Source organism: Homo sapiens, chromosome 13 (genome assembly GCF_000001405.40).
Source record: "Homo sapiens chromosome 13, GRCh38.p14 Primary Assembly".
NCBI lineage: Eukaryota > Metazoa > Chordata > Mammalia > Primates > Hominidae > Homo > Homo sapiens.
In genome coordinates, this window is record NC_000013.11 from 49,220,285 (window position 1) to 49,232,398 (window position 12,114).

The 12,114-nt window shown below is 45.8% G+C and overlaps 1 protein-coding gene across 1 annotated transcript, besides 1 other annotated feature; it reads left to right on the forward strand.

The window, feature by feature from the left end:
• Nucleotides 7–86: a silencer, noted in NCBI's record as "silent region_5340". NCBI's record gives its function as "represses an Ori minimal core promoter by ATAC-STARR-seq in GM12878 lymphoblastoid cells {active_cell/tissue: GM12878}" and the evidence as "EXISTENCE:reporter gene assay evidence [ECO:0000049][PMID:35858748]".
• Nucleotides 54–2,093, forward strand: MLNR (motilin receptor). The gene is made up of 2 exons (NM_001507.1): nt 54–954; nt 1,756–2,093. Exons 1-2 carry the CDS (start codon nt 54–56, stop codon nt 2,091–2,093), a joined length of 1,239 nt encoding a protein of 412 aa, NP_001498.1.

Consider the following 12,114-nt stretch of genomic DNA (forward strand, 5'->3'; position numbering starts at 1 on the left):
CACGCGCCAGGCTCCCAGCCCGACCCGGGACGCGGCGGCCGCGCGGAGCACCCATGGGCAGCCCCTGGAACGGCAGCGACGGCCCCGAGGGGGCGCGGGAGCCGCCGTGGCCCGCGCTGCCGCCTTGCGACGAGCGCCGCTGCTCGCCCTTTCCCCTGGGGGCGCTGGTGCCGGTGACCGCTGTGTGCCTGTGCCTGTTCGTCGTCGGGGTGAGCGGCAACGTGGTGACCGTGATGCTGATCGGGCGCTACCGGGACATGCGGACCACCACCAACTTGTACCTGGGCAGCATGGCCGTGTCCGACCTACTCATCCTGCTCGGGCTGCCGTTCGACCTGTACCGCCTCTGGCGCTCGCGGCCCTGGGTGTTCGGGCCGCTGCTCTGCCGCCTGTCCCTCTACGTGGGCGAGGGCTGCACCTACGCCACGCTGCTGCACATGACCGCGCTCAGCGTCGAGCGCTACCTGGCCATCTGCCGCCCGCTCCGCGCCCGCGTCTTGGTCACCCGGCGCCGCGTCCGCGCGCTCATCGCTGTGCTCTGGGCCGTGGCGCTGCTCTCTGCCGGTCCCTTCTTGTTCCTGGTGGGCGTCGAGCAGGACCCCGGCATCTCCGTAGTCCCGGGCCTCAATGGCACCGCGCGGATCGCCTCCTCGCCTCTCGCCTCGTCGCCGCCTCTCTGGCTCTCGCGGGCGCCACCGCCGTCCCCGCCGTCGGGGCCCGAGACCGCGGAGGCCGCGGCGCTGTTCAGCCGCGAATGCCGGCCGAGCCCCGCGCAGCTGGGCGCGCTGCGTGTCATGCTGTGGGTCACCACCGCCTACTTCTTCCTGCCCTTTCTGTGCCTCAGCATCCTCTACGGGCTCATCGGGCGGGAGCTGTGGAGCAGCCGGCGGCCGCTGCGAGGCCCGGCCGCCTCGGGGCGGGAGAGAGGCCACCGGCAGACCGTCCGCGTCCTGCGTAAGTGGAGCCGCCGTGGTTCCAAAGACGCCTGCCTGCAGTCCGCCCCGCCGGGGACCGCGCAAACGCTGGGTCCCCTTCCCCTGCTCGCCCAGCTCTGGGCGCCGCTTCCAGCTCCCTTTCCTATTTCGATTCCAGCCTCCACCCGCCGGTACTTCCCATCCCCCGAGAAAACCATGTCCTGTCCCCCAGGAGCTCTGGGGGACCCCAGGGCGCTTTGAGGGTGGGATCCCCGGATCCGATTCAGTAACCAGCAGTGCTTTTCCAGAGCCTCTGAGACCAGAAAGGAGAGTTGGTAATTCTTAATCCAACCACCTGTTAGATGCCACAGATGAGGAGTCCTCACAGTGCTCTTGAGAAGACGAGGGAGATTTCATTAAGCTAAAATTTTTTATTTAATGTTAAGTGATGCTGAAGGCTAAAGTAAACCTTGCTCGTATCAAAAAGTAAAGATTGTGCAGACCTGTTGTAGAATTCTTTTCAACAGAGAACAGAAAACTTGTCTCCGAAGTGGGTTTGTGGAAGGAAGCCTGCCAAGGCGGCTTGTTCAGAGAAATTGCTCCTTCTGGTTTATGTCCAGCCTTGATAACACATATGGGAGCCTACTATGCAGTTTTAAAGCAAGTATCCATGCAGCCTGCAGCCTGGTCATTTTTTCTGGGGTGAGGATCTGCCTAGGTAGAAGTTTTCTCTAATTTATTTTGCTGTTACTTGTTATTGCAGATGGTTCCTTGTCGGGGTGGGGGGTTTATTTGCTTCCCAATGCTTTTGTTAATCCCGGTGCTGTGTCTTATGTTGCAGTGGTGGTGGTTCTGGCATTTATAATTTGCTGGTTGCCCTTCCACGTTGGCAGAATCATTTACATAAACACGGAAGATTCGCGGATGATGTACTTCTCTCAGTACTTTAACATCGTCGCTCTGCAACTTTTCTATCTGAGCGCATCTATCAACCCAATCCTCTACAACCTCATTTCAAAGAAGTACAGAGCGGCGGCCTTTAAACTGCTGCTCGCAAGGAAGTCCAGGCCGAGAGGCTTCCACAGAAGCAGGGACACTGCGGGGGAAGTTGCAGGGGACACTGGAGGAGACACGGTGGGCTACACCGAGACAAGCGCTAACGTGAAGACGATGGGATAACCAGCACGGCCAAGCCAGGCTCCTCTTGCAGTTCTAAGACTTTGGGGAAAACAGGTGTGTAGAGAAATAAAGACTGCAAATGAGGAACAGATCCTGTTAAGAAGAATGGAAAGAGGGTTGCAGTTGTGCCAGTTGGTTAAGAAATAGACCGCATGATTTATTTAACCAAGGTATGAAATGTAACTGCGCCAACCTTTCTAGTTTCCTTCCCACGTACCTCCTAAGGAAGGTCGATTTTACCATCATGAAATCCCACATCTCAAAGTGTGCTCTTGTGTGATGGTTTCATGAAGTCCTCATTCTCCTACTCTTCGGAAAGATGATTGTTCATTTTACAGTTAAATGATACACAAAGATGCTGCCCCAAAACTGCCACCTCTGAGATCATGAGTGTATTTTATGTTTTGGATGTAAATGTAACAGTACATCTACAAGGAACCAGGATAATGATAGTTTTGATCCAAGAAATGATTTAATACCTATGTATGGCTGCAAAAACTTTTAGAAGTAAAAGGAATTCTGGGTAGACTCCAGTGTTCAGGGGTCCCACCTCTCTCCAGATCACAGCAAATCATAAAGTTTAGGCAAAATAATAGCCTCTTTCAGAAGTATTAAGCAATTGTGTTGCAACCCACTTCTCCTTGACACTGCCCATGGGACCTTCCCAGTGCCACTGGCCATGGGGTGGCAAACTTTGGGCATCAACATTTGAGAGTAGAGAGCTCAGCAGGACATGGCTTTCTCCAGTGACTACAAATGACGTTTGTAAAGAGCTATTTAATATGCTTTATCTCACCTCAGCTTGGTGGGGTGAGTACTGTTGTCAACATTCCTGTTTTGGAAGTGAGTCTTGGATTGCCCAAACAGGAGCTGGTGAGCTGGAGTCTGAATCCAGTGTTTAAGTTGCTCACCCAATCCCAAGCCAAGATGCTGTCCTTACTGAAAAACGCCAGCCAATGGATTTAGTCAAGAGTGAAAGAGAACTCACTGGACATTCTGATCAACAACTCTGTAACTTTGTTTTGTTTTTTAGAGTTTAAAACACAAATATTTTTAGAGGGTTACTGCTGTCACTCAGCTCCAAAGGGCTTCACTTATGCCACCTTCTGTATGAATGGCACCCCCAAGATGTGGGCAGGGTACAGCTTTCACAGTTGTACATGGGACCTTTTTTGGGGCTTTCAGATTGATAAATTCAAACCTAAATTACAATAGGATCTTGATTTGTATGAGGAATTTGTCCTGAGACCTTCATGAATCTTCACATCTACAAATACCAGAAAAATGACAAATGCTATAACTTCAGAGTTATAAAGACAGATAGACATAAAGTCACATTGAGACTTGGAGGCTAGAGAGGCAGCTCCGTTGATTCACTGACTTGATGTCTCTGCTTCACAGCCCACAGTTTGGGTGGCTTTGGTAAATGTCTAAATTACTTTCCGCCACAGGCCACCATAGTCTCTTTTGAATAGTTAAAACTACAAAAGATGAATACATAAATAACAAGGGTCTGCCCGACATGCATTCAAAGTTCTGTTGCTTTCTCATTTTCTTAGCCAAAGCCCTAGCTCAGTCCCCAGCCCGGTCCACAATTGGCACAGGAATGAAGTCTCTCGTTTGCTTTTTCTCCTAGCTAGTGGAAGAAGCAGATTGCAGTCACTTCAGGAAGCATTCCCTAAACTGTGTTCTGCAGATTTCCAGGGATTATTGGAAAAAATGGTTCTGGGGTTAAATATGGCAGGAAAATACCACATTGTGTTCCCCCTACCACACCCTAAACATTTCACACACATAACACAATATAGCATGTCAGAGGCTCTGAGAAGTTGTCTCAACCAACATTTCCTTGACTTATTTTATCACAGAACCAACTCTCCATCTTCCCTCCCAAGAACACTTAGTAAAATCTCATGGAGTGAGAAATACTTTGGGGAGCACTGATGTAGGGGTTCTGACAGTGGAGGTGTCAGCCTGGAGCCTCCATAACTCTCTGCTTGGTAGCACTGAGTACAGCAGCTGCCACAGTCCTTCTGCTCATGGGAGCTCCTCTCTGGAGCAGTCAGGAGTGGCCACCTCCCTAGGGAAAGTCACAGCAAAGAACCTTATTAAGATGTATATAATATTTTATTTTATTTTTTTAGAGACAGGATCTCACCCTGTTGCCCAGGCTGGAGTGCAGTGGCACAATCATAGCTCACTGTAACCTTAAATTCCTGGATTCAAACCATCCTCCCACCTCAGCCTCCCCAGTAGGCAGGACTACAGGCACACACCACCATGCCTGGCTAATTTTTTAGTTTTTTGTAAAGTTGGGGTCTTGCTGTGTTGCCCAGGCTGGTCTCAAACTCCTGGCCTCAAGCAATCCTCCTGCCTCAGCTTCCCAAAGTGCTGGGATTACAGGCATGAGCCACCACACCTGGCTCATGTATAATATTCTAAATGTAGAAGCAAAGACCTCTCTTTTGAGCTTTCTCGTTCAGAATCTAGAAAACAAGGATTTACATGACACTTTCCTGGGACTTAAGCATGTTTCCAGGTGTGGGCATAGGGAGGATTATCCTTCCCTTCCCAGATGGTACCTGAGATGGAGGGCCTGAAGGCCATCCCTTCCTTCAGGATTCTTGTGTGGTCTCAGCCTACTAGTGGACTGTGAAATCAGTAAGTGTGTCATATTTTTCTTTAATGGAACAGTGTGGACAAGAATAGAGTCCATTGTGTATCACATGTACTAAGGTAACTATTGTGCTGTGAAACTTTTGTTTCAATTATGTTTTGGTTGGTGTCTTTCCCGGTTCACAAAATAAAATACATTCTAACTGTGGGTCATGGTGGAAAATGTTTAAAAAGTTGTTCTAAGATCTAAAGTTTTTCTCTGTTCTTACACTGACAACTGGCTATGAAAAGGGAGGCCAAGTCAGCGAATCACTGGAGCAGGAGAATCACTGAGCTCTGGTTTCCAGTCCAGGGCTCCCTACCCACCCAACCCAGGGTGGTAATCATGGAGGCTATGGGCCAGCCACTCCCTCCACCCCAACAGAGACCCGTGCTGGCATTCCAGCCACTTCTCTTTGAGCCCCCTCTCCCTTCTGCAGGCAGAACCACTTTTGTTAGGTGAGCTGCCAACCTTGGAAGAGAGTTTGTATTTCATTCATTCCCATGGCAAATATTTACCAAGCAACTGCTAAGTGCCAGACGTGTATAATACAATACACTAGAAAAACTAGTCCATGTGATGATGTAAAAATCAATCAACTTTCTAATGGCATTCTCTGTTTGAAATGTGTATTGTGTCATCTAGACTAACATGGATTCACCATTTAGATCAGATGGAAGTGCAGAACATCAGGTTTGCACTATCTGTCTGGATGTTCCTCCTCTTTTGTATGTGAGACATTTCCACTTCTGAAGGAAATGTTCAAAGAGCTATTGCACAACATCCACTGGGATCCAAGAGTTCCCTGTGCCAGGTTCTCAAAGAGACACAGGCAACGTGCTAATGGTGTTGAAAATTCAAACACGCCCTCTCCTGACCCTTTCTACTCATGTCATAATGACATTTGCCAGTATATGGAAGCAAATTTTAGTGGTTGCACAGGTCTAGTGTGTTTTGTTTTGTTTTAGAGACAGGGTCTTCCTCTGTCACCCAGGCTGGAGTGCAGTGGCTTGATCACAGCTCACTTTAGCCTCAACTTGCTGGGCTCAAGCAATCCTCCCACCTCAGCCTCTCAAGTAGCTAGGACTATAGGCACACATCATCTTCACACCTAGCTAATTAAAAAAAAATTTTTTTTAAGAGATAGGGTTTTATTATGTTGCCCAGGCTGGTCTCCAAGTCCTGGCCTCAATCGATCCTCACACCTCAGCCTCCCAGGGTACTGGGATTATAGGCATAAGCCACCACGCCCAGCTTAGGTTTAGTGTTTTAAAAGTGGCTTTACTTAAACATAGATGGGATGCAATATTTAATTATGAGCCCAATTTCTAAGGATTCCAAACCCTATTACAGAGCCCCTAGTCTTCTACGAGGAGCCTTTGAATTCAGCGTTTCCTCTTCTGAGCGCACAGGGCACAGGCTCCAAAGGAATGCTCTGTGGAAGTCACTCAACCTGTCCCTGGTGTACACTATGTCTCTGGTGTACACTACAGAGGAGGGGACTCGACCGGCCCCCTTAGGAAAACACTACACACTTTTTAAATAGTGCACACCTGTGTACTAAGGGTTAAAAGGCTTTTTATTCCCCACACTAATTCTCTGGGTCAGTGGTTCTCAAACTTCAGCCTGCATCAGAATCACCTGGAGGACGTGGTAAGACACAGATTGCTGGGCTTCCCCCAGAGGGTTTTGGAGTTAGTAGGTCTGGGGTGGGGCCCAAGAATCTGTATTTCTATTGAATTCCCAGGTATTGCTGGTTTATGTCCCAGGTGAAACACAGCGGGATGGCATAAGATTTCATCACACTACTCAGGGCACGCTCGACTGAAAACCTAACAACTGTTTAATTCTGAAATTTTCCATTTAATAGTTTTGGACCATGGTTGACCACAGGTAACTGAAACCTCAGAAAGCGAAACTATGGATAAGGGGGACTACTTTGTGGTTCCAAAGAAGCCATCCAGCTGGAAAAGTTCTGTTGTTGCATTTTCCACAGGCTCCTGCAAATAGGTCCTGATGGTCAAATACTCTTTTTTTTTTTTTTTTTTTTTTTGATATAGGGTCTCACTCTGTCACCCATGCTGGAGTGCAGTGGCACAATCACGGCTCACTGCAGCCTCAGCCTCCCGGACTCAGATGATCCTCTCACCTCAGCCTCCTGAGTAGCTGGGACTACAGGTGCACACCACCACACCCAGATAATTTTTTAATTTTTTTGTAGAGACAAGGTTTCACCATGTTGCTCAGACTATTCTCAAACTCCTAAGCTCAAGCAATCTGCCCTCCTTGGCCTCCCAAAATGTTGGGATTATAGGCGTGAGCCACCATGCCTCAGCACTTAAATACTTTTAAGAAATGTTGCAATACTATATAAACTCTTTTTGGCCATACAGCTTTTTTTTTCCTCTCATATATTAACATTCCCCAAAATACTCCACCTTGAAATTCTAGAGAGAAGTTTGGGTATGAAGTCAGGGCTCACCATAAAGATTTGGGAGGCAACAGCATGGAAATGATCATCTTATCCAGTGCCTCAAAAACTTTTGCTTGCATCAGAAACACTAGAGGGCTTCTTAAAACACGGATTTCTGGGCCCACTCCAGAAGTTCTGATTCTGTAAGTCTGAGAATTTGCATTTCTGTGTAGTTTGCAGGTGGTGCTGCTGCTGCAACTCCAGGATCACACTTTGAGAACCACTGATTTAAGTGATAGAAATAGATGGCCCCGACTAGGAGAAAGCTTACCAAGATCAAAGCAGAGGTGCAGGGATGCACTCTAATGATCCCCACGCTGGCTGGAAGTCACCAAAGCAGGCAGAAGAGCAGAAAAGAAAAAGCATGTGATGCATGTGATACAACCCAAAGGAAGAGCGTTTCACAGAGGGTCGGAGGTCAAGGGGTCACGCACCACAGGGAACACAAAGAGAATGAAGTAGGGTTGCCAGACGAAATTCAGAGCCTGAAACTAAATTTGAATTTCTGATAAACAACATATATTTTATGTATAAGTTTAAATATTATTAGCATGACACACTAAGGGCCAGGCGTGGTGGCAAACACCGGGAGTCCCAGCACTTTTGGAGGCCGAGGCAGGAGGGTTACTTGAGACCAATAATTCAACACCAGCCTGGCAATATAGCAAGATCTCATTTCCACAAAAAAATGCATTTCTTCATTAGCTGGGCATGGTGGCGTGCCCCTGTTGTCCTAGTTACTTGAAAGGCTGAGGTGGGAGGATAGCTTGAGCTCAGGAGTTTGAGACTGCAGTGAGCTCTGATCACGCTACCGCACTTTAAAAATATAGCATACCTATTACTTACATTTTAAAATCATTTATTATTTATCTGAAATCCACATTTAAATGGGCACTCTATTTTTATTTTTAAATCTGGTAACCCTAGGATACTGGCAATGGAAAGACCACAGAGTCTGGCAAAAGGAAGGAATCTAGAAAGTGCCTTTCAAGAGAGTGCTGGGGCAGGAGCCGGAAGATGGTAAGTTGAAAGGAAATGGCCACTGAGCAACAGTGGGTTAGATGGTCCCAGCCTTGGGGCCCTCTTTGTGCAGGGAGCTCAGCAGCTGATTAAGCAACTTTGCCGCTAGTCCTGTACTGTACTGACTTGTACCCCCACCCAAGAGCCAGCCTCTCCTGCTGTGGCTTGTATCCCAGCACCCCAGTTAGGAAAGCACCTACCGCCCTTGTGTTAGGCATCTGCACTGCACAGTCAGTAATTATTTTGATTTTTTTAAATCACAAAACTGAAGAATGTGTCTGATTCAGAACTTCCTGGAATATAATGTGTCATGACAATCTGTCAAACTGAAGAAGCTTCGTTTGTATCTAACCTGTTCCTAGGTGTTTATGTACACTTAGGCATTTTTTTAAGGCTTAATTTTCTCTTTCTGCAAAAGGGGTTGAATGAAATAAAATTTTGTTAAATGAATAATTAATTTACAATGAGGGGTGGTTCTTTTCTTCTTTTTTGAGACAGGGTCTCACTCTGTCTCCCAGGCTGGAGAGCAGTGGCGTGATCAGAGCTCACTTGCAGCCTCCACCTCCCAGGCTCATGCAATCCTCCCACCTCAGCCTCCCAAGTAGCTTGGACTATAGGCACACACCACCACACCCAGCTAATTTTTGAATTTTTTGTAGAGACTGAGTCTCACCATGTTGCCCAAGCTGGTCTTGAACTCCTGGGCTCAAGTAATCCGCCTGCCTCAGCCTCCCAAAGTGCTGGGATTCTAGGCATGAGCCACTGCTCCAAGCTGGGTGGTTCTTCTTCTAAAAAAAATGTAACTCTGTGTGATGACTGAGACCATAAAGGATAATGAAGTAATATTTAAATCTGTGTAAAGCAACTAGCATTGTGCCGGGTAGTAATAGATTTGATAAATACTACTTAAATGTAAATGGAGGATAGCAACATTTTGGACAGGGAAAAATATCGATTTCTTAAAAACTAAGTTCATTGCAGTATTATAATACATTATAATGGAGTGTTTAGTTATATAACTATTGCAATGTACGTATAACATATAATAATACAAGGTACTTGGTATGCCATCTGGAATGCAGTAATTCTCAGTAAATGTGAGCTAGCATTTTTGTCCTCAGTTCATATCCTATTAACTATCACTTGTTGGGTCTTTTTGTTTGTTTTTAAAAACATGAAACAAAAGTACTGAACATTTATTTTCTAAAAATCCAACAACTCATAAGAGGCATATTCACTTCATTACTTAGCTTTTTAAGGGACACCATTGGCATTTTACTCCCAAAGGATGCTATCTTTCACTGAAAGTCTTCAGTTATTTTTTGTATTTATAATAACCCCATTCATATGATTCTGAGTTATCCTCCAGCATGCATCTTTAAAAACTGGATTCTTGTGCCTAATGCAAGCATCTGGCTTTCTTAAATAAAGATGAAAATGGCCAGGTGCAATGGATTGAGCCTTATAGTCCGAGCTACGCAAGAGGCTGAGGTGGGGACTACTCTCTTAAGCCCAGGGGTTGAAACCTGCAGTGAGCTATGATCGAGCCACCGCACTCCAGCCTAGGCAACAGAGCAAGACCTCACCTCTAAAAATAAATAAAAATAAAAATGCATTTCATAAACACATTTCCCAGTAGCAGTTCCTAAGTTGGATTCTTTAAATGTTCCTTTACTAATTTCCATATACATTTTGATTTCCTTCGACAAGGAAAAAATACAAAGTATATTTTATGTTTAAGTTGTTGGGCTATATATAAAAATGAATAGGCCTGTAATCCCAGCACTTTGGGAGGCAGAGGTGGGTGGATCACTTGAGGTCAGGAGTTTGAGAACAGCCTGGCCAACATGGTAAAACCCTGTCTCTACTAAAAATACAAAAAAAAAAAAAAAACCAACTAGCTGGACGTGGTGGCACATCCCTGTAATCTCAGCTACTCGGGAGGCTGAGGCATGAGAATCACTTGAACACAGGAGGTAGAGGTTGCAGTGAGCCGGGATTGTGCCATTGCACTCCAGCCTGGGCAACAGAGTGAGACTGTCTCAAAATAATAATAATAATAATAGGACCAGGACCCTTAACCTCAAGATTCTGTGACTTGTCAGGATGGGGGAAAAAAAGTATGTAAATAAGTATAGATGTGATTAAATAAGTTTTAATAAAGAGCAGGGGAATTTAGAGAAACTGTACCAAGCATTAAATGTATTACTTTTAGTAACCAGAAATTCCTTCCATGGATGTAGTTAAGATTTTATAGTATTTGGGAGGCCAAGGCAGGAGGACCATTTGAAGCCAGGAGTTCAAGACCAGCCTGGGCAACATAGCAAGACCCTGTCTCTACAAAAAAAACTAAAAAGTTAGCCAGGTGTGGGAGTGCACACCTGTAGTCCCAAGCTGCTAGAGAGGCTGAGGCAGGAGAATCACTTGAGCCCAGGAGTTCAAGGCTGCAGTGAGTTATGCTTGCACCACTGCACTCTAGCCTGGGTGACAGAGTGAGACCCTGTCTCAAAAAATAATAATAATAAAATAAAAGATGTTATAGTGATTGTTGGCTCAAACCATGCAAACTCTGCTGAACATAGTTTATTAACAATAACTCTCCATCTGAGGAGTCATTAAATCTTTCTGAGCTCAGTTTGCTCACATGTAAAGTAAGAAGGTTAGAACCAAATTATTTGTCATCTCTTCTACATAAATTATTCTGTGAATCCCTCACTTCCCTCAGCCTTGTAGGTTTGGGTATATTTTAGAAATTTGCTAGAATTAGGCCAGGTACAGTAGCTCTCACCTGTAATCCCAACACTTTGGGAAGCCAAAACAGGAGGATCGCTTAAGCCCAGGAGTTCAAGACCAGCCTAGGCAACATGACGAAATCTCATCTCTACAAAAACTACAAAAACATCCAGGTGTGGCGGTGCATGTCTGTAGTCCCAGCTACTCGGGAGGCTGAGGTGGGAGGATCACTTGAGCCCAGGAGGTCAAGGCTGCAGTGAGCTGTGATTGTACCACTGCACTCCAGCCTGGGTAAGAGAGCAAGACCCTGCCTCAAAAAAAAAAAAAAAAAAAAAGTACTAGAATTAAACAAAAGAGACTTGTTGCACCTAAAATAGCTTTTTATAAAGCTTTCAAGTCCATGAGGTTGATTTTCATTTAAAATACAGTTGCTAACAAGTTGGGTCATCTGCTGTGCCCACCAATAGCATGTTAAAAGCATTCAATAGGATGGCACAAGAGAGGAAGGGCTATTAGCAACAGAACAGTGATGTTGGGAGATGGGGTAACTAGACTGACAGGAAAGAATGAGGAAAAGTGGGACATCCAATGGTGAGGTCCATCACACTGATCCTGAGCCCCCGACGGCAACACCAAACTATGCTCAGCACTTTTTAAAGAAATTATTTAAACTGACAAATAAAAATTGTATATGTTTATTGTATGCAACATGATGTTTTGATAGATATATGTTGTATACATTGTGGAATGGCTAAATCAAGCTAATTAGCATATCTGATACCTCACATACTTTTTTGGTAAGAATATTTAAAATCTACTGTCTTCGCAATTTTTAGATATACAATTTATTTTTGTTAACCATAGTCACCATGATGTACAATAGATTTGCTTTCTTTTCTTTTCTTGTTTGACACAGGGTCTTGTTCTGTCGCCCAGGATGGAGTGCAGTGGCATGATCATGGCTCAATGCAGCCTCGACTTCAGGGGCTCAAGTGATCCTGCTGCCTCAGCCTCCTGAGTAACTGTGACTACAGGTGTGCGCCACCATACCTGACTAATTTTTAAATTTTTTTTGTAGAGATAGCGTATCACTTTGTTGCCCATTCTGGCCCCAAGCAATCCTCCTGTCTCGACCTCAC